Genomic DNA, 21436 nt, shown 5'->3' with positions numbered 1-21436 from the left:
TCCCACAGCCGGCCCTCACCCACAGACTGGATCACCACTGGTGACACCAACTCAAACAAACACAAGGAGGGCTGATGCTTGCCTCTTCGGGAACTCAGCAGGGCTGATGGGGCCCATCTGTCCCGGGGAAGGGGTGAGAGGGCTGGCCCTCCCCTAACAAATCCCATGGAATCAGCATCCCCAGCACTGTCCATCAGGGCAACAGCTTCCAGGAACAAACAAAATAAACACCCCAGACAGGGCCAGGCCGGAAAGGCTGCCTGACGCACAGCCCAGAGTTACACCCACTGCTGTGGTGCTTTGTTTGGAGAATCAAGACCGTTGGAGTTGGAGCTTGTCCCTGTCTCACCACCGTTCAGCTTCCCTAGTTCAGCCCAAGTACTGCTCTAGGCAATGGGTGTGTTTTTTTGTTTTTTTTTAATGGGGCTTGGGTGAGGAGGGTTGGATGGGAATGAGAGACCAATAACCCAGCCCTCGTGAGACAGTCTGGAGTGGGGCAGGCCAAACTCGGGCAACAAGTCCTTCTTGTGGTCTGACTTAAATCCATTCTGCTGCAGCCCACATAGGTCCTTTTTATTACATCCTCACTGAGTGTGGGAACATCTGTTCAGTATCTAAGATGGGAAGATAATTAAATGTCTCTATTACCACCCTTACTCCACTAAGTAATGGCTTCAAGACTCCACAGAGCATGGCGCTTGCTTGCTCTCCAGTAGTCAGCCCCTTGTAGTTAGTGTAGGGAGCCTCCAATAAAGCTGAGCCTGAGGCTAACCACATCTTCCTCTCAGTTCAACACATGCCTGCAAAATGTCTACCATGTGCCAAGCACTGAGCTCAGATGTCAGGGACACAAAGATATTTAAGGCATCTCCCACCTCACGGTCTGGTAGAGTGTTAGATGCCCTGACTCTAGCTTTGTTTTTCCCTTCTGGAAGTTCTTCACTTCCTTCCCAGCTTCCTGCCCCAGAATGCTTCTCTTCACCTGCTTTTGGCCAATTCACATCCCTTCATTTGACAAAGTGAGGCATACACTACTCTAGCCCCTTGCTACTCAAAGTGTGGTCCCCAGAACAGCAGTATCTGTATCATGTGGGGATTCGTTAGAAATGCAGACATTCAGGCCCCACCCAAGGCCTACCGTAACAGAATCTGCATTTCACCATGATCCTCACATGGTTTGGATGCACCACTCCACAAAGGCAGGGATTTTTGTCGGTTTTGTTCAATTCAATATCCCCAGTACTGAGAACAGTGCCTGGCACATAGTAGGTATGCAATCACTATTTGTTGAATAAACACCTAACTGTTCTGATTTATCCCCAACTCCCTTCTCCCTCTAGCCAGCCATTAACTCCCATTTCCATTACAGCTTTACTTGTCAACAGTTGCCAGCCTATCTGCAGATGTTTTATGTTTGTATGTTAAAGACACAAACGGGCCAGGGATCTGCTTTTTTTTTTTCTTTCCTCCTTTCGTGTACAGCCCCTAGTGTACATGATTCAGCCCAGCACATATAGAACTTTGAACACAGAGATAACACTATTAGCCTCCATGAATCTGCTCTTAATGCCACAGCATCCCTCACTTTCATTTGTGAAATAAGGATGATAATAGAACCCATCTCACTGGATTATTTCAGATTGACAAAGATCATGCTCATAAGGTGTTTGGCCATAGTGCCTGAAGCTCAGTAAGGGCTTATTAAAAGCAACTGCTGTTGGTAAAAGTAGTGCTAACAATATGATACCACTTTGTGTTTCTCTCCCTTTGTGAGCCTATGAATACAATCCTGTTCTTGTGATTCCCTACATCCAACCCCCTACAGAATGCAAAATGAAACAGGAAAGCACATGCCGGAAGCTCCCTATTTCTTGGTCTGTTTAGGATAGATAGAGGGAGGGCAGTGGTTAGAGAGTAAGGGGAAGAATCTCAAGCTATGAGAAAAATCCAAATATTAACTGGTGAAAATGATGGCCTTCTGCTCCAGAGTGGAACATGGACACACCAGAGTCAACAGGCATTTCTCTTCCACGGGTTGTACAGAACATCAATCTTGCTGGTTTTTTCCTAAGAGAAAGGCTTGGGGGCTTAGCCTGCCCTTAGAAGGTAGCTTTTCACCTTATCCCACAAGTGGTGATCACTGAGGCAGGCATCTGGGCCTGTAGCTATGACAGGTGTGGAGCAAGGAGGCTGAAACAACCTCTGTACCCACTTCCCAACCTGGCCCTGTTGCAGCCTTCCTCCTTTTCACAGGGGCTGCTAAGTCACTCTGTGTCACCTCCCTCCCTCCCTCCCTCCCTAGCTCTTTCACCCAGGAATTTTTCCAGAATCTTTAATATGAACCACATCAGGGGAGGGTAGTAGAGGGAGAAAGGAAAAGGGAGAGGGAGTAGTCAAGAGTACAAAATGGGAACTAGGAAGACCCCCATTTGGGTCTTTAGGAACCACTGCCAGGATGCTGAAATTACCAGAGTGACACTTCCTCACCCAAACACCAATTGGTCCCCAAGACTATATCCCAAACTGGTAAGAAGCAATCAAGAGTCCCAAAAAGCAAACTGCTGTCTGAGCCAGATAAAGATGGGCAGCGGTTACTTCATGTTGTCTCAACAAAGACCCTGAAGATGCCAAGTCCCCAGCCAGACCAAGCTCATGAAGGCAAAAGGTAGCTTTGATCTCACTCAGAACTTTGAAAGGTTTTTCTCCTCATCCCCCTTCTCCCCTTTCCCTTTCTAAAAGAATGTTTCAAGCCAGATGTAAGATATAGGCCTCTCTGTTCCCCCAACCAGAACCCCCCCTCCTTGCCTTCCCCAACACTGCAGAGATTTAAAAAAAAAAAATTCAAAAGAGATTTTTCTGAAACAGGAAAACAGGGGGTGGGGGTTGGGATAAGGAGAGACGGCATCTTGAAATGATAGGAATCTGCAGCCCAAGCTGGCGGGCCCCTCGGCCAGCTACCCCTCACCCTTCAGCCAAGATTCCAAGTCAAGAGGAGAAAAGCCACAGGGTGCAAGGAGAGAAGAGACCACATTTCGGGGAGGGGGGCTTGCACGGGAAGAAGAACGGAGTAAGGAAAGGACGGGAGGCACTGCCTGGTGGAGAGGGGCAATAGCCTAGTCCAAGAGGCCAGTTTGATTGTGGGGTGAAGAGGAAAGACTGAGTCTTTTCTAGGTTCAACTCTCCCTGCTTTGCCCTCTCCCCATGGTGGGGAAGAAGGGAAAGCAGCTCCTTCTCCTACGGGAAGGTGATGAGTGCCATCCAAGGAGTAGGGGGCAGGGAGGATTCTAAAAAGAACAGACACGAGACATCCAGTGGATCTGTAATGCCTTTTTGCCTCATCTGCCCTCTTGTGAAGTGTCTGGAGTCTAGGGCCTGCAAGAAATCTGGGGAGGGGGTCTCTTAGTATCTTGGGACTCCGCAGCCCTCTGGCTCTTGGAGGGGAGAAATGGGAGATGGGAAAGAATAGGAAGAAGGGAGGGAGGCAAAGTTTCCTAAGTGACATCCTCAAAACGGTGGCTGAAGACAAATGCCTAGATAATGCAAACCCATGCGTTTTGTTTGTTTTAATTGTGGGAGTTAATGGGGTAAATTTTGCCTCGATTCCATTTCTAAGCCTCGGCTGGGTGCTGCTGCCTCACCAAAGCCTTCCTGTGGTATGGGTGGGCTAGACTAGCGAGCTGCCCCTTTCTCCACCTCTCAGAGGGCGACCTTAGGCGATTGGGGCCCTGGCGAAGCTATTGCGGGCCCTGGAAGGTTATTCGTTCCTTGAACTCACCCTGAGGGAAACTCGGAAGGTAGCTTCTGCCCTAAGGGGCTTGAGCTGAAATAGAGGGGGTACAGCACGTGGAGGCCTAAGGAGCCGCGACCACCGGGCATCCTTGCTCCGAATGCCCAGCGCCTTTCTCACCAGTCGTGTAAGACGCGGCGCCTCACCCTCCCGCCACCCCGCGACTTCAGATTTCAGTGACAGTCCTGCCCGAATCGTCTCCAACCCGTCGAAGCAACAGCCTGGTCCCGTGAGCAGCCAGTCCCTCCAGGCGCCTCCGGCCTCTCCTACCAAGCGCCTCACCCGCCCAGCCTGAGAGCCACACTTACCACCAGGACGTGTCTACGCGGGCCGGCAGCGTCAGCAGCAGCAGGAGCAGAAGGCAGGCAAGACCTAGGCGGGCCGAAGCCCGGGAGCCGTCGGGGGCCGCGGGCGACGGCACAGGGACCGGGGCGCTGGCGCGCCGAAGCGGGAGCTGCGCAGCTTCCTCCGCACCACCCGGTCTCAGCATAGCTCCCCGAAGACTCCCGCCGCGCAGCCCGGAGGGGCGTGGACGGGGCACCTTCTGGGGGTACTCAGGCTGCTCCTACCTCACCCCCCTGGGGGGCCATGGTGTTCGCCGGCGGCTGGGGACCTAGGATCACCTGGGGTCCAGAGCCCGGGAGGAGGATCCCCGAGAGGGGCGCAAGTTGCGATGTCCGGAAGCCGACGACGGCGTGCCGAACCCGGGGTCTGGGGCGCGCTGCCTGAGGACCGGGTGCGGTGTCAGGGGGTCTGCGGCGCTGAAGGGAGCTGCGGGCCTAGTGTGCGGACAGCCCCTTCGGCCGCGGGCTCTCATTGGACGGGACGGGGCGGGGCCGAGGCCGGGGACACGCGCGGCCCTTAGGGCGGCTCCGCCCGCGCCAAGCCCGGGGCGCTCCGCGACGCCCTAGGTGTAGCAGCCGCCTCCGCCCCTCGGGGCTCCCGCGCGCCACCGCGCTGCACCCCCACCTGCTCCCGCACGCTGCGACGGGACGCCGCGGCTCCCTCCTGCGCCCCAAGCGCCCAGTCCCTGCCGACACCGCGCCACCGGGTCCTAGCGCCCTTCACTCAGCAGCCCCACTTCTATGGGTGACGGCCAGGCTGGCGGAGCGGGAAGGGGATGCGGGCACTTCCCTCCTGTCCCCAACCTACAGTGACACCGGCGCTGAGCACGGAGGATGCACTCATTTCCTCCATCCTTGCGCTTCTGTGAAATGGGTAGAGTCCCTGCCACCGGGAGTTGGAGGTCTTAACTACCTTTTCAACACTGCCTACAGGAGCGCCGTGGGCAGTCGGCTTCTAGCAGGGGATGCTTTCAGCTAGAGCTCATCGCCCCTGCTTCTTCTGAGCCACTGCACCCCCCACCCCCAATGCATCACGTTTAGACCTGGCTCCTGCTTGCCCGGCCTGCCCGGCCCGGGTGCTTTTCTTTACGGACCGGGAATCGACTGCCGACGCTAAGGGGGCACCTGCGGACTCCCCGCCCCTTACTCCTGGGCTCAGCGGAGCTCAGTCTCTCCCCGCTCCCCCTCTGTGCCTCGGTCCTCCACCCTCTCGGGCGGGGCTGAGAGTATGAAAGAATCAGAAACAGCTGGGAGGTTTTCCCGCACCAGAGGCCAGGGTGGGGGTCCTGCCGAGAGAGTGGAAGCCCTGGAGCTTTTTCCCTCCTTCGTCTTCTCGCCCTGCCTCCTCCCCACTGCTCCTTCACCCTCCCTCCGCCCGCACAGCGCCTGGGGGCGTGGTAAATAGGGAAGGGGTGGGGAGGTGCAGTCTGCCGAAAGAGACTCTCCTCTCCCCACCACCCCAACCCTCAAACCTCCCAGGATAGCAGGTACGGGCCCTGCGGGCACTGTGGCCCTCCGTCAGAAGTAAAATTCTTTTTAAAATCCTGGGCTTAACTTCGAGAGTTCAGAGTTCACCTGGGATCTGGCTCCAGTCGCTTCTTCAGCCTCAGTTTCTCCCACCTCGCAGGTGTCTTTCCTGCCTCCTCATATGATTTTAAAGTCCTGGGGTAAACAACTTACTAGTAACTGCCGATGCCCCCAACTCCAAATTCACTGTCAGTCTTTGGTTGGGGGTGGGGGGCGGTGGTGGCGTTAGAGGTGCCTCCCGAGTGTAAGCAGATGGGGTGCAGCTGGCTGCAGACATCTCAGAGACAGAGATAGTGGAGAAGGTTTCAGAGGAACCTTTAACCTCTCTCCCCACCGCCTCCGGGTCCTAGCGCCCCTCACTCCGCAGCCCCAACTTCTGTGGGCGGGCAGAGTGGGAAGGGGCTGCAAGCACTTCCCTCCTGTCCCCAACCTACAGTGACACTCCTTTACCCCCACTTTCTGTGGTAAGGTGATGAGTGCATTCATTAATTCAACAAATACTTATTTCCTACCACATGCCAGGACTGTGCTAGGCACTAGGGACCCATTGGTGAACAGTCTATGCCCTCATGGAGTTTGCCTTCTATTGCAGGAGGATAGACCATAAACAATAAACATCAGAAGTAAAACAGAGTATGTTAAAAAGTAGTAAGTGCAGTGGTAAAGAGAGCACAGTCAAGGGGATGGTTACAGTTGCAACTAGGATGATCAGGGTAGGCCTCATTAAGGTGACATGCAAGCAGAGATTTGAAGGAGGCAAGGAATCAAGCCAGGCAGCTTCCTGGTGAAGAGCATCCTAAGCCGAGGGCAGAGCCCGTACAGGGACCCAAAGGCAGGAGTGGGCTGGTGTACGAGGGTTATCGAGAAGGCCATCCAGCTGGAGCGGAGTGCGTGGAGGAAGAGAATTCAGATGAGTCCCTGAGGTGCTCCAAGTCATGAATGGGAGGCAGTGCTCCCCACTTGGGTGGAAAGTGGGGGCTGGGCTGGAGTTGGATGGGAGTTGGAGAGGACTGAATACAGACACTTCTCAGGGCCGACTTCCTGGCACAGAAACTGGGACCATATCCTTTGTGGCCAACAGGCTAACTTATTTTCTTCCCCTTCTCTCCCTTTCTTTTTGTCGGGTGGGCTCCAGTTGGCCTGGCTATTTCCTTAGAAAGGCACAGACTCTGTGCTTAGTTTTCCTGAGAGGGGCAGGTGGGAGAGGAATGAGCCCAGGCTCCTTCTTGGCTGGGCCTCTTTCCTTGGACCACTCTTTTACCTCCTCCCAACCCAGCCCCATCCCTACACAGGGCAGTCTTGGAGCTCCAGCAGCCTCTCCCAGACTCCCCTGTGTGTTTAGACCTGGGTGTGACTCTGGCCCTGTGTTTATTTCTACACAGGGCCTGGGGTTGGTGGAAAGCGCAGGGAGGGGGAAAGTTGGCTGAAGATGATCACATCAGCCCTAACCTAGAGTGGACTCGCCCACATGGGCCCCCAAATCACTTCTGAGGCCCCTTCTTTGGCCTGAGCTGTCTTTACAGTCAAGTGGGACTGTGTCTTGGCACAACACAGATGCTCAAGTATTAAAGCATGTTTTTGAGGCCCAGGCTTGGTGGCTTACGCCTGTAATCCCAGCACATTGGGAGGCCGAGTTGGGAGGATGGCTTGAGCACAGGAGTTAGAGACTAGCCTGGTCAATACGGTGAGACCCAAAAAATTTTTTAAATTAGCCAGGTGTGGTCATGCACACCTGTGGTCCCAGCTACTTGAGAGGCTGAGGCAACAGGATTGTTTACGCCCAGGAAGTCAAGGCTGCAGTGAGGCATGAATGCACCACTGCACCCAGCCTGGGCAACAGAGTGAGACCCTGTCTCAAAATAAATAAATAGAAATAAAAAAAATTTTAAAGCATGTTTCTGAGCTGAAGGGAGGGGTGAGGGGGGTACAGCCAGAAACATCAGCAGCTCTGAGAGGGAAGGAAGTGGGTGAGGGGACTAGACTTCTCTCTAAGGTTTACAAGTCACCTCTGCCCCCAGAGTGGACAACCTAGGATGAGGCTTGGCTCCTTCTGCTTCTTTGTCCCCTCTCCTCTGAGTCCCCAGTTCCCCGGGAGGAATCCCAGGCTGCAGGAGCCAGCTGACTGCAAGAGCTGCACTCAACCACTTAACTAGAGAACAAATATGGAGCCAGAGAAGAGGTTTTCTGGGATCTGCCTCTTTGGAGCTTCAAATCTCAAAATAAACTTCCAGTCTCAAGGTCCTAGACACTACTGGAGAGCTCAGCTCCTCACGCAAAGGCTTGTTGTGGGGCTGCCAGGCAGAGGGTCAAGGCCAGAGGCTCAAGCTAGCTCCTGACCTGCATCTTCATTTTATTCCACACTCTCACTCTCAGTTCTGGGAGCCAGAGGGAGGAGTCACTGATCTCAGAGTTAAGTTCTGGTCTGTAGAACCCTGCATGGAGTCAAGTCAGCACTTACTGAGCACCTGCTGTGTGCCCAACACTGGCCAGGGTATCCTAAATAACAAGGAGCAAAAGGCATTACTCCCAAGGCATTTTCATGGAAATATAATAAAACCGTCTGTGGGTGGCACACTAGGCTCTGCTGAAGTTCAAGGGTGCATGCTGCAGACATAGTGAACAGTATCAGTAGAGACCTGAGGAAGAATCCCAGGTCCCCTGAAAGCTGCCAGATTACCTGGGGCCTCCAGCAGGACAGCTTCCACCCAGCCAGCAGAGTCAGGTCCACCCTCTTCCCCATAGTGGCACTAGAGCCTCCTCCTGTCCTCTCAAAAGTGGGTGCCCAAAGAAGAAGGGTCCACTGTCACCCTTGATGTCACCTTATGCTCTGCTCTCTGGTGGGACAGAGTTAAGATTTCTTTTCACTCTGTTCTCAGCTATGCGTGGCTGAATGATTTTGAATTTTTGCTGGCCCTTGGATGGGAGGGGAGATGAGCTAAGGGGAGCTGGGGTGTGGGTAAACAGCTCTTACCCCACCCTGCTCTATCCTCCAGAAGGCTCCCCTTCCCTGGGCCCCTTTGGCGATGACCTTCTCTTTTTCCCGGTGGGTGGGAGGTGGTGTGGATGGTAATGAGCAGAGAGAAAGGCCAAGAAGGGGCTGGGGGGAGGTTTGGATGGGAGTCAAGGAATTCCTGAGCCTGCTGCTTGCACAAGGGGCCCTGAGACGCCTTTCCTGAGATTTCTTTGCAAACCGAGGCAGGTCTTATTTGAAATAGGGCCAGGTTCACACAGGTAACTAATGCCTCACCTCTTGCCCTGCCACCCCATGCAGGTGTCTGGGGAAGTAAAGGAAGCTTGGGAAGAACCCAGGAGCTGTTAAGGGGGGAAAAGAGTGGGGATCCACGCTTTGTACACAGCCTGGCCGGCCTCTCCTTGGTATTTATGAGCTCTTAGGCGAGGCGTGGAACGTGTCTCAAAGAGGCCAGACCAAAAGGGCTTTGGAGGGAAGGAGCATCCAGCTCCAAACCAGGAAAGGGGGCTTGATGGAGGAGAACCCCTTTCCTCCCAGCTAGTGGCTAAACAGGGGCACAAACTGCTCCCCTGAGGACTAGGAAGAAAGGAAGAGAGGGATGTAAAGGAGAAGGGGAAGGAGGAGAGGAGGCGTGGGGAGGTGAGACGATGGGGGCAGGGAATGGGGGTGTCTGGAGCCTTTTGGCACTTTGGCTGTAATCAGACTGGAGCCAGGCAGTGGGCGGGCTGACGGCCATTCCGGGCGGGTGGCCCAGGTTCTGTGTGAGGCCAGTGGGTGTGCTGCTGGGATCCTGGGTGGTCAACTGACCAGCCTCTCCCCAAGGGAGGGTTCCCAGTCTGCCTGTATCACACAGGCTAAGCACTAAGCCCTCTTTCTCTCCCTACCACCTGTTCTGGGCCCTAGAATGATCTGGAAGTGAGAGTTGTTTCCAATGGACAAATATCTGCAGAGGGCATGGCCTGCCTCCCTCCCACTCTGCCTTCCTCAGTTCACGCTGCCTCTTGTTCTCATACTCTCCCCATGTCTCTTCTCTGAGTCTCCATCTCCCTGGGTCTCTCTCTGGCTCTTGTTTCTGTCATTCTCTGTCTATTTGCATCTGTCTCTTGTGTTTATCTCCCTGTCTTCATTTGTCTCTCTATGTGTCTAAGTTGGCCTGCCTCCCCCTCCCTGTCTGAATGTCTCTGTCCTTCTCTTTCTGAATCCCTGTCTCTTGCCTGTCTCCCTGTCAGATTGTGTCACTCCCTGTCTCTCCGTGTGTATCTCTCTGTATGAATCTGTATGACCGTTTGTCTTGCTCTTTCTTCACTCTCTCCATCTGTCTCTCCATGTTGTTTCTGACTCTCTGTGGCTTTCTCCGTCTCTCTGTGCATGTGGGTGTGTGCGCACCTCTATTTTCCTTGGTGTGTATGTTTGCTTCTGTCTTCGTCTCTCTCTTTCTCTTGCCCTCTCTCTGTCTCATACCTCTCCCTTGCAGCTCCTGCAACACAGTGCAGGGAGCACTGGACCAGTAAAAAGTCAGAAAACCTGAGGGTTTTTTCCCCCAACTCAGCCATGCACTATTGGCATGACTCTGTAAATCACTTTCCCACTTCAGGCCTCAGTTTCCCCACTGGTGAAACAAGTAGGGTAGAGATCTAGTTCCTTCTGTGGGACCGACCGTCTTTCTGCTTCCTAAATCTGACCCTGAAGTCAGGACTGCAGTATCCCAGGGACTCCAGTGGAGTGGGGTCTCTGGTACTGTTAGCCAGCAGGCCCCCAAAGAAAGACTCCTCACTCCTTCACATCCTTACATATCAGGGTGGACAAGGTCCCTTTCTGGGGCCATGTCTGGGATACAAACCAGATTAGCTCATCTCTCTAATCCTCTTTGTGCTGGGGCCTCTGCCAGGCAGGGACACCCACAGCGCAGAGCAATGGTGTGTGTGTGAGTGTGTGTGCAGATTCTTGGAGAAGGCAGGACACTCAAAGTTCTCCTCCCTTTGTCACTCCCTCCTGCCTGAAAAGCTCAAATCAGCAGCCCTCACTGTGTAAGAAACATCATCAGACTTGAGCCAAGTCAGGTTTTCCATAATCCCTGTCCGCAATCCCCTCTCCCCCAATTTCCTTCTCTATAGCCTCTCTAAAACTGCACCAGTCATTTCAGCCGTCCTCCTGTTCCTGAAAAACCCAGAACCCACCCCCTCCTCCTCTCCTAACCCCTGTGTTATGTGTGTGTACTCTCCTCCAGTCATCACAGGAGAAGGGTCTTTCCATGAAAAGCCGGAGGGTGAGGCTGGGGACCGTGGACACGCAGGGTCGGGGGAGGGCGGGGAAAGCAGGCTGTCCTTGGGCTTCACACCCCCAAGTCCGAGGCCTCCAGCCCTTCTCTGAGGTTTCCTTTGGAGAGGTCTCTCTTGCCTGATAAGATCAAAGCATTCCCTCTGCCAAATCATTACCTTATTTTCGAGGCAATTAGAGAACTTATTGTATCATTTAGCCGGGTCTCCAGCTTTAGCTGTTTATCGCTGCTTGTCTCTGTCTTGCAGAGGAAAGGATCTGCCCGGCGCAGCCCTCCGGGCCAGAGAGGGGAGAGCGGGGTGCAGGGCAGGGCTCTGGCGGGCCCCAGGGCCGCGGCCCGGGGAGCTGTCCGGATGCTTTCAGCAGGGACGGGCAGCTGGAGGGCACGGGGACGCGCTCCTGAGAGGAGAGCCCGGTGGCTCCTCCCGGCGTCCGCCACGGCCGCAGGATCGCTCTCTCCCGCGGGCGCAGCACCTGCGCGCCGGAGTAGCCCGGGAGAGCGAGCCGCAGAGTGAGGGGAGACCGCTCAGGCCAGGCCTGGCCAGGGCCCCAGCCCCGGAGGAGAACGCTGAGCTTTAGCCAAGATTCCGGGCGCTTTCCGACTCGCGGGTGGGCGACTCGCCCTGTGAACCGGGCGCCGCGCCGTGGCGTTCGCGGGAAAGGCATGGCAGCCTGAGCTTCGTCTTCTTGGGGATCCCCGCGTTTCTGCCCGAAGAAAACCTTAGGAGCGGGCGTGGCACGGAGAAGTGGGTGTTCCCAAGGGCAGGCGAGTGTGGCCTACTTTGCTTCTGTCCAGACCACAACTCCTACCTGCAGACGAAGCGCGCACACACACCGGGGATTCGGGTCAGCCAGAGGATCCCTAGAGCGGTGGTTCTCAAACATTTTGGTCTCAGGACCTCTTTACACTCACAAATTATCAAGGACCCCAAAGAGCTTTTGTTTATGTGGGTAATAGCTATCCATATTAAAAATTAACATAAACTCAGGAGCCAACTGAAAAGTTCCCAGTGGCCAAAGCTGGACAATTTGGGCAACAAAACAAAACAGTTTTCGATTGTAACCCAAAGCATAAAATTAAATACCCATGAGTCCATGCTGATACAAATAAATGATTGAATGAATAAATAAATGGAGGAGAAGAGACAAATTTCCTATACAGAATCCCAAATAATGTATGTGGGTATTCTGCCCTGAAGGAGGTGACATACAACTCCCTACTACTTAAGTGTGGGCTATGCATCGTGACCTTTTTCCAAGAGTATTGTACAGACAGGGAGTGTGGAGGGGAAAAGCAACTTCACAGTGGAGAAAGCTGACAAATACAACCTCACTGGGTGATCAAGGTCAACATACCAGTGTCAGGTTGATAGTATGTACTCTTGATATGATGCGATAAAACAACACTTTCCCTCTGTGGTCCTCCTCCCCATTACCCCGGTCTAATCAAGAAAAAAACACCTGGTAAATTCCACCAGGGGGACATTCTACAAAATACCTGACTAGTACTCCTTAAAACTGTCAAGGTCATGAAAAACAAGGAAAGTCTGAGCAACTGTCACAGCCAAGAGGCGCCTAAGGAGACACGACAAGTAAATGTAATATTATAACTTGGATAGGATCCTGGAAAAGGAAGAGGACACTGGGGAAAAACTGAGGCGTTCTGAACAAAGTATGGACTTTAATTAATAATAATATATTAGTATTGGTCCACTGTTGTGACAACTGTACCATACATTTGTAGTGTAAGAAAGATGTTTGTAATCGGGAAAACTGGGATATATGGGCACTTTGTACTATCTTTGCAATTTTTCTGTAAATCTAAAAACTGCTCTAAAATATAAGATTTTAATTTATTTTTATTTTTTGAGACAGGGCCTTGCTCTCTTGCCCAAGCTGGAGTGTAGTGGCACGATCATGGCTTGCCCTGAACTCCTGGGCTCAAGCCATCTTCCCTCCTCAGTCTCCCGATTAGCTGGGACTACAGGTATGCACCACCATGCCTAAATAATTAAAAAAAATTTTTTTTAGTGACGGGGTCTCACTATGTTGCCCAGGCTGGTCTTGAACTCCTGGGCTAAAGCAATCCTCCTGCCTCAACCTCCCAAAGTTCTGGGATTATAGGCATGAGCTACTGCACCTGGCCTAAAATGTATTTTATCAGATCAAAATGGAAACATTTAAAAATATTTATTTTAATTTTTTTATTATTAGCGATAATAACCCCAATACTTGTTAATATTAATACCATATTTTTATGGGAAAATACCTATAATTTCCAAAACAAAAAGCATGAAAAGAGTGGCATTATTTAACATTTTTGCAAATACTCTATCTTTAATGTCCGGCTTAATAGCAGAATTCTCTTATGTGCTTCTACATTCAGTCTGGTGTGATAATGTAGCCTCTGGAAAGCTCCATTGTACATTCATGACAGAACGAGGGAAACATGAACAAATAACAGCTTAGTATTACTATGAACCTCTTGGAGAGTCACTACCTTAGCAATCTTATCCGTTACTGTGATTTGAGATCCTCAGTTCAAAGTTCCTAACTTTGACATCACTTTTGAGTTCTCTGATTATGCCTGTCGTCATACCCTCGCTTTTTTCCCAACCATCTACCCTTTTAAGACTCCCTGGTTCATGTCAACATGACCATCGTGCCTCTGCTCATAGCAGCTTTGTGGAATTAATGATCAAGACACTGTACTCCCCACTGTGCACAATTATTTAGCAATGAGACAGTTACTCCTGTCATTTCTCCTGAACATACTGAGAAGTGTTACAACTCCTAGAATAGTGAACAATATATGATTGTTGGATGATTAGAAACAATTCTGGAGTCTGAGTTATTTTTCTTTCTGATGAAATACCTTCACCCCTGCATAGCAACCTGAGTTTCCACCATGCAATGATAACACTCTGATTTAGTAAGTTTGACATTAAATATGTTAGCTATAGGGTTTTTGTACCTGTTTTTTAATCAAATTGAGGAAGTTTACCTCTATTCCTAGTTGATGAGAGTTTAATGAATGGGTGTGGGGTTTTGTTGTATGCTTTTTCTGCATTTATTGATATGATCATGTGATTTTTCCTTTTTAGACTGTTAATGTGACAGGTTATATTAATTGATTTTCAAATGTTGAATCAGCCTTGCATATCTGGGATAAATCCCAGATGGTGCCTAATTCTTTTTATACATTATTGGACTTGATTTGCTAATATTTTGTGGATTTTTGCATCTGTGTTCATGAGAGATATTAGTCTGAGTTTTCATATAATGTCTTTGTCTGGTTTTGGTATTAGAGTAATGCTGGACTTATAGAATAAGTTAGGAAGTATGTCCTCTGCTTCTGTCTTCTGGAAGAGATTGTGGAGAATTGCATTGTTTTGGTCTTAGTGGAAGTGGCTTTTTTTTTTTTTTTTTTGAGACAGTCTTGCTCTGTCGCCCAGGCTGGAGTGCAGTGGCGTGATCTTGGCTCACTGCAACCTCCACCTCCTGGGTTCAAGCCATTCTCCTGCCTCAGCCTCCTTAGTAACTGGGATTACAGGCGCACGCCACCACGACCGGCTAATTTTTGTATTTTTAGTAGAGATGGGGTTTCACCATGTTGGTCAGGCTAGTCTCAAACTCTTCACCTCGTGATCCACCTGCCTCGGCCTCCCAAAGTGCTGGAATTACAGGCGTGAGCCACCGCGCCCAGCTGGAAGCAGCTTTGAAATTGGGTAATGGATAGAGGCTGGAACGGTTTTGAAGTGAATGATGGAAAAACTTACATTGGTGTGAATGGAGTATTAAGGGTGATTCTACTACACTAAAGGATCAGAAAAGAAGAGCTATATAGGGAAAGCTTCTCTCTTAATGATTACCTAAGTGATCATGACCAGAATGCTGGTAAAAATATGGACAGTGAAGACTATTCTGATGAGGCCTCAGATGGAAATGGGAAACAATTTCCAAACTGGAGGAAAGGCCATCTTTGTTACAAAGTGGCAAAGAACTTGACCGTGTTATGTCCATGTCCTAGAATTTAGTGGAAGGCAAAATTTAAGAGTGGTGAACTAGTGCAGCCATTAAAAAAAAAAAGAGAGAGATTGGCTGGGTGTGGTGGCTCAAGTCTGTAATCCCAGCACTTTGGGAGGCCGAGGTGGGTGGATCACCTGAGGTCAGGTGTTTGAGACCAGCCTGGCCAACATGGTGAAACCCTGTCTCTACTAAAAATACAAAAATTAGCCTGTAATCCCAGCTACTTGGGAGGCTGAGGCAGGAGAGTCACTTGAACCCAGGAGGTAGAGGTTGCAGTGAGCCAAGATGGCACCACTGCATTCCAGCCTGGGCAACAGAGTGAGACTCCGCCTCAAAACAAAACAAACTAAAAAAAAAAAGGAATGAGATCATGTCCTTTACAGGGACATGGATGCAGCTAGAAGCCACCATTCTCAGCAAACTAACACAGGAACAGAAAAACAAACACTGCATGTTCTCACTCATAAGTGGGAGTTGGACACAAGGAGGGGAACAACACACACCGGGGCCTATCGGGGGTTGGGGGGGAAAGGGGACAGAGATCGTTAGGACAAATATCTAATGCATGCGGGGCTTAAAATCTAGATGACGACGGGTTGACAGGTGCAGCAAACCACCATGGTACATGTATACCTATATAACAAACCTGCACATTCTGCACATGTATCCCGGAACTTAAAAAAAAAAAAGAGTGATGAACTAGGATATTTGGTGGAAGGAATAGCTAAGCAGCAAAGTGCTCGGGGTACTACATGGCTTCTCTTAACTGCTTATAGTAAAATGCAAGCAGAGAAACGATTTTAAGATGGAATTTCTTAATAAAAAAGAGAAGCAAAATGTAGAGATTTGGAAAATTCTCAGCCTCGTCATGTAAAGAATAAAAAAGCATGTTTAGAGAGAAAACCAAAGGTGTGGCCAAGTGACTGTTTGGTAAGGAGATTAATAAGGATAGAAGGAAGTCAGGTGGTATTCATCAAGACAATGGGAGAATGACCCAAAGACATTTTGGAGGTCTTTGTGGCTGTTGTGCCCATCACAGGCTTTGAGTGGTAGGGCCTCAGAAGCAGAATGTTATTGGGGGAGTGCCTAGGGCACCTGTGAGACCTCAGGATTTCCTGCCCAGGGCCATTTAAAATCTTTGCTATGTGGGTCTAGGTGCAGCTGGGGCTGCTGCCCCAGAAGGCACAAGCCATAAACCTTGGCAGCGTCCATGTAGTGCTAACTCTGCAGGGACGCACAGTGCAAGAGCTGTGGAGGCATGGCTACCTCCATCTAGATTTGAAAGGATGCCTCAGACAACCTCAGGGCCCGGGCAAAGACTTGCTGCAGGAACAGGGCTGCCACAGAGATCCCCACACGAAGGCAATACCTAGTGGAGTTGTGGGGGCAGGACCACCCCTGAGACCTCAGACCCGTTGAGGCATGGACTTGCAATGCCAGCCTTGGGAAAGCCACAGGTACCCTATTCCAACCCATAAGAGCTGCTGTGTAGGCTGGTTCCAGCAAAACTGTGGGAGTGGGGCTGCTCAGGGGCTTGGGGGCCCAACGCTTGTGGGAAGTGTGTCTGGAAGGCAGGACATGGAGTCAAAGAAGATTATTCTCCAGTCATAGGATTTAACGTTGTTTGCCTTGGGTTTTAGACTTACTTGGGACCTGTTACTCCTTCTTTCTGATTGCTCCAGTTTGGACTAGAAATGTAAGTCCTGGGCTGGGCACAGTGGCTCACGCCTGTAATCCAGCACTTTGGGAGGCTGAGGCGGGCAGATCACCGGAGGTCGTGAGTTCGAGACCAGCCTGACCAACATGGAGAAACCCTGTCTCTACTAAAAATACAAAAGTAGCCGGGCGTAGTGGTACATGCCTGTAATCCCAGCTACTCAGGAGGCTGAGGCAGGAGAATCACTTGAACCCGGGAGGAGGAGGTTGTGGTGAGCCAAGATCATACCATTGCGCTCCAGCCTGGGCAACAAGAGTGAAACTCCGTCTCGAAAAAAAAAAACAAAAAAGAAAAAGAAACGTCTGTCCTACACCTGTCCCACTATTACATTTTGGAAGCATGTAAGTTGTTTGGTTTCGTGGGCTCATAGCTGGAGGGAAATTTGCCTCAGGATGAATCATGCACTGAGTCTCACTCATATGTGATTTAGATGAGACTGTGGACCTTAGACTTTTGAGTTGATGCTGGAATGAGTTAAGACTTTGGGGGCTGTTGGGATGGAATGAGTATTTTGCACATGGGAAGGACATGACTTTGTGGGGGCCAGAGGCAGAATGCATCCCTTCTAAAATTTGAATGTGTACCTTCTAAAATTCATGTTGAAACTTAGCCAGGAGTGCTGGCAAATGCCTGTAGTCCTAGCTACTCGGGAGGCTAAAGCAGGATGATTCCTTGAGCCCAGGAGGTCGAGGCTTGCAGTGAGCTATGATTACATCGCTGTACTCTAACCTGGATGACAGAGGGGGACCCTGTCTCTAAGAAACAAAAACAAACACCCATCCATCCCCCATGGAATTCATGTTGAAACTTAATGGCACTATTAATGTGACACTATTGAAAGGTGGGGTCTTCGGGAAGTAATTAAGTTATGAGGGTGGAGCCCTCCTGAATGGGATTAGATGCCCTTATATAAGGGCTTCACAGAGGGAGTTTATCCTTTTTGCCCTTCTGCCATGTGAAGATCCAGCAGTCCTCCACTCTGGAGGATTCAGCATTCAAGACACCTGGCCCTCACCAGACAAGGAACCTGCCAGCACCTCGATCTTGGACTTCCCAGCCTGCAGAACTGTGAGACATAAATTTCTGTCCTTTATAAACTGCCCAATCTGTGCTATTTTATTACGGCAGCAAAACAGATGAAAATAGTGTTTTTGTTTATATTTGATTTCTTATAGACAACAGATATTGTTGGGTCTTATTGTTTGATCAGTCTGACAATCTCTGTCATCAAATTGGTGTATTCAGACCATTGTGGTTTAAAGTGATTATTGATATAGCTGGATTTTTTTTTTTTTTTTTGAGACAGAGTCTCGCTCTGTCACCCAGGCTGGAGCGCAGTGGCGCGTTCTTGGCTGGCTGCAAGCTCCGCCTTCTGGGTTCACGCCATTCTCCTGCCTCAGCCTCCCTAGTAGCTGGGACTATAGGCACTCGCCACCATGCCCAGCTAATTTTTTTTTGTTTTTTTTGTATTTTTAGTAGAGACGGGGGTTTCACCATGTTAGCCAGGATGGTCTCGATCTCCTGACCTCGTGATCTGCCCACCTCAGCCTCCCAAAGTGCTGGGATTACAGACGTGAGCCACCACGCCTGGCCTATAGCTGGATTTATATCTACCATATTTGTTACTGTTTTCTGTTGTTGCTTTTATACTTTGTACCTATTTTTGTCTTCTGCTCTTTTATCTGCCTTTTGTGGTTTTAAATAAACATTTCATATGATTCAATTTTCCCTCCTTTCTTAGCATATTAGTTATACTTATTTTTTTACATTGCTTAGTGGTCAGAATAGACATTTATAACTAACCCAAATCCACTTTCAAATAATACTATACTGCTTCATCAGTAGGGTGAGTACCTTGTAATAACAAAATAATACTAGTTCCTCCCTCTAATCCCTTGTATTATTTCTGTCATTTATTTCACTTGTACATAAGCATGTGAATATATATAAGCATACATAATCAAATATACTATTGCTATTTTTATTTTGAACAAACTGTTATCTGTTAGAACAATTAAGAATATGAAAAGTTTTTGTTTTACCTTCACTTGTTCCTTCTCTGATGTTCTTTCTTCCTTTAAGTAGATCCACGTTTCTGACCTATTATTTTGCTTCTCTCTAAAGAATTTCTTTTAACATTTCTGGCAAGGCCAGTCCAATGGCAACAAATTCTCCTATTTTTTGTTTGTCTGAGACAGTGTTTACTTCACCTTCATTTTTAAAGGATAATTTCACATGGTTCAGATTTCTAAGGTAGTGGTTTTTATATCTCAATACTTTAAATATTTTACTCCAGCCTGGGCCCTTCTCTACAAAAGAGAGACTTTGTCTCTACAAAAATAAGATAAAATAATTAGCCAGGTGTGGTGGTGTGTGCCTGTGGCTCTAGCTACTCAGAAGCTGAGGCAGGATGATTGCTGGAGCCCAGGAGGTCATGGTTGCAGTGAGCCATGATTGTGCCACTGTACTCTAGCCTGGGTGATAGAGCAAGACCGTGTCTTAAAATATATATATTTTTCTCCGCTTTCTTCTTGCTTGCATAGTTCCTGAGGAGAAGGTAGATATAATTTTTTTTTTTGAAACGGATCGTCTCTCTGTTGCCCAGGCTAGAGTGCAGTGGCACGATCTCTGTTCACTGCAACCTCCGCTTCTCGGGTTCAAACGATTCTCCCGCCTCAGCCTCCCGAGTAGCTGGGACTACAGGCGCACGCCACCAAGCATGGCTAATTTTTGTATTTTTAGTAGAGATGGGGTTTCACCATATTGGTCAGGCTGGTCTTGAACTCCTGATCTCAGGCAATCCACCCGCCTCAGCCTCCCAAAGTGCTGGGATTACAGGCATGAGCCACCGCGCCTGGCCGGTAGATGTACTTTTTATCTTTGCTTCTCTATAAGTAAGGGTTTTTTTCTCATCGCTGGCTTCTTTCAATATCGTTTTTTTTTTTTTGTCTTAGATTTTTTGCAGTTTTAAATATGATATGCCTAGGTGTAGTGTTTTTGTCGTTGTTGGTTTCGTTTTTGTCATTTAATCTGCTTGGTGTTCACTGAACTTCTTGGACCTGTGGTTTGGTGGCCAACATTAATTTGGGGGAAATTCACAGTCATTGCTTCAAATATTTCTGTTCCTTTCTCTATTTTTTCTCTTTATGGTATTCTCATTATACATGTTATACCTTTTATAGTTGTCCCGCCGTTCTTGGTTATTCTTTTTCTTCTTTCTAGTCTTTTTTCTCTTTGCTTTTCAGTTTTGGTTTCGTTTTATTTTTGAGATAGGGTCTTGCTCCGTTGCCCAGACTGGAGTGTAAGGGTGTGATCACAGCTCATTGCAGCCTCAGTCTCCCAGGCTCAAGTGATCCTCTCATCTCAGCCTCTTGAGTAGCTGGGACCACAAGCGTGCACCACCATGCCTGGCTGATTCAAAATACATTTTTTTGTAAAGGCAGGGTCTCACTATGTTGCCCAGGCTGGTCTCGAACTCCTGGGCTCAAGCAATCCTCCCAGCCTCCTGAAGTGCTGGGATTACAGGTGTGAGCCATCATGTCTAGCTGCTTTTCAGTTTTGAAAGTTTCTTTTGAGGTAGCCTTATGTGCAGAGCCTCTTTCCTCAGCTGGACCCAGTCCACTAACAAACTCATCAAAGGCATTCTTTCGTCGTAGTGCTATTGATGGAGCAGGATCTCTAGCATTTCTTGCTTCTCCTTTCTCTTTGTTAACATTGCCTGTTTTTGCATGCTGTCTACTTTACCCATTAGAGAGAGCTCTTAACATATTGATCACAGTTTTTTAAAAATTCCCAGTATGATAATTCCAATATCCCTGCCATATCTGAGTCTGGTTCTGGTGCCTGTTTTGACTTTTCAAACTGTCTTCTTTGCATTTTGGTGTGCCTTGTAGTTTTTTCTTGATAGCCAGGCATGATGTATTAGACAAAAAGAAATGCTGTAAATAGGCATTTAGTAATGTGTTAAGGTGTTAAGAAGTGAGGAAGCATTCTATAGTTCTATGCTTAGGTCTCTGTCATTTAGTGAGCCTGTGCCTCTGGACTGCGCACCTCGCAAAAGCTTCTCAATCCTTCCACTCCTTAGGTAGTATAGGATGGTTAGAGTGGGATGGAATTTAATATTCCCTTCCCCAATGTAAAGGCTACAGCGGGCTGAAACTGGATATTTTCCTTCCCCTAGTTTGGATAGACTCTGCAAAAAAAGTAATAATAAAAGCTTAGGTTCTGGCAAAATAGTTTCTCTTGAGAGAACAGGACTTGTTAAGAAGAACAGAATGCTTAGGTGTATTTAGAAATGGTTACTTTTCCTTCCCCCAGCCAGAAGCACAGGGGATATTTTTCTGATATTTACTGTGAGAACCTGGTGAGCTCTAGGAGGTAAAACTCACAATATGTGAGGTCCTCCCATGACTGGCTTCCCCTGGAGTTTTTAATTCTCAGAGTTGTCCATACTGAGTCTCCAGCAATTCATCAATTACAGCTCAGGTTTTGGTACCCTGGTACTGGTTCCTGCTCATGGGTTTCTGCTCTGGTAAGCTGTGATTCCCTGCATTTGCCTGCCTGTCTCTGCAATTTAGGAAGCAGTGGTTTGCCCTGTGGCCTCATGACTCTGGTGGATGTAAGAAGGGTGTTGATTTTTCAGTTTGTTCAGGTTTTTACTTATTGTTAGGCTGGGGCGATGACTTGCAAGCTTTTTACATGCCAGATGGGAAATTGCTAAATCTTGAGTGTCTTTTTTATATTGATTTATAATAGTTTCTTTACATATTGTGGAAAATAAGTCC

At 49.1% G+C, this 21436-nt stretch overlaps 1 protein-coding gene across 3 annotated transcripts in view, besides 9 other annotated features; it reads right to left on the bottom strand.

Moving 5' to 3' along the window:
• The window catches only part of WNT2B (Wnt family member 2B), a 63625-nt gene that overhangs the window by 16626 nt on the left and 25563 nt on the right, over positions 1 to 21436 (bottom strand). The window contains exon 1 of one of the 3 annotated variants that reach the window (NM_024494.3): positions 4096 to 4575. The exons of the other annotated variants lie outside the window; for them this stretch is intronic. Within the exon in view, the coding sequence (NP_078613.1) occupies positions 4096 to 4277 (182 nt within the window). The 5' untranslated portion in view covers positions 4278 to 4575. Of the gene's footprint in view, positions 1 to 4095; positions 4576 to 21436 lie in introns of those variants that run through there. 3 annotated transcript variants of the gene reach the window in all.
• Positions 3340 to 3839: an enhancer, noted in NCBI's record as "H3K4me1 hESC enhancer chr1:113052323-113052822 (GRCh37/hg19 assembly coordinates)". NCBI's record gives its function as "activates a minimal SCP1, AML or CMV promoter by ChIP-STARR-seq in naive H9 embryonic stem cells {active_cell/tissue: H9 hESC(naive)}" and the evidence as "EXISTENCE:reporter gene assay evidence [ECO:0000049][PMID:30033119]".
• Positions 3939 to 4233: a silencer, noted in NCBI's record as "tiled region #8072; K562 Repressive non-DNase unmatched - State 20:ReprD". NCBI's record gives its function as "represses a minimal TATA promoter and a strong SV40 promoter by Sharpr-MPRA in K562 cells {active_cell/tissue: K562}" and the evidence as "EXISTENCE:reporter gene assay evidence [ECO:0000049][PMID:27701403]".
• Positions 4227 to 4336: a silencer, noted in NCBI's record as "silent region_1200". NCBI's record gives its function as "represses an Ori minimal core promoter by ATAC-STARR-seq in GM12878 lymphoblastoid cells {active_cell/tissue: GM12878}" and the evidence as "EXISTENCE:reporter gene assay evidence [ECO:0000049][PMID:35858748]".
• Positions 4397 to 4476: a silencer, noted in NCBI's record as "silent region_1199". NCBI's record gives its function as "represses an Ori minimal core promoter by ATAC-STARR-seq in GM12878 lymphoblastoid cells {active_cell/tissue: GM12878}" and the evidence as "EXISTENCE:reporter gene assay evidence [ECO:0000049][PMID:35858748]".
• Positions 4537 to 4646: a silencer, noted in NCBI's record as "silent region_1198". NCBI's record gives its function as "represses an Ori minimal core promoter by ATAC-STARR-seq in GM12878 lymphoblastoid cells {active_cell/tissue: GM12878}" and the evidence as "EXISTENCE:reporter gene assay evidence [ECO:0000049][PMID:35858748]".
• Positions 4657 to 4786: a silencer, noted in NCBI's record as "silent region_1197". NCBI's record gives its function as "represses an Ori minimal core promoter by ATAC-STARR-seq in GM12878 lymphoblastoid cells {active_cell/tissue: GM12878}" and the evidence as "EXISTENCE:reporter gene assay evidence [ECO:0000049][PMID:35858748]".
• Positions 4657 to 5307: a biological region, named in NCBI's record as "H3K4me1 hESC enhancer GRCh37_chr1:113050855-113051398".
• Positions 4764 to 5307: an enhancer, noted in NCBI's record as "H3K4me1 hESC enhancer chr1:113050855-113051398 (GRCh37/hg19 assembly coordinates)". NCBI's record gives its function as "activates a minimal SCP1, AML or CMV promoter by ChIP-STARR-seq in naive H9 embryonic stem cells {active_cell/tissue: H9 hESC(naive)}" and the evidence as "EXISTENCE:reporter gene assay evidence [ECO:0000049][PMID:30033119]".
• Positions 11174 to 11263: a silencer, noted in NCBI's record as "silent region_1196". NCBI's record gives its function as "represses an Ori minimal core promoter by ATAC-STARR-seq in GM12878 lymphoblastoid cells {active_cell/tissue: GM12878}" and the evidence as "EXISTENCE:reporter gene assay evidence [ECO:0000049][PMID:35858748]".

This window comes from Homo sapiens, chromosome 1 (genome assembly GCF_000001405.40).
Source record: "Homo sapiens chromosome 1, GRCh38.p14 Primary Assembly".
Lineage (NCBI taxonomy): Eukaryota > Metazoa > Chordata > Mammalia > Primates > Hominidae > Homo > Homo sapiens.
The sequence above is the reverse complement of the archived record's forward strand: the minus strand, read 5'-3'. Positions and strand labels throughout refer to the sequence as shown.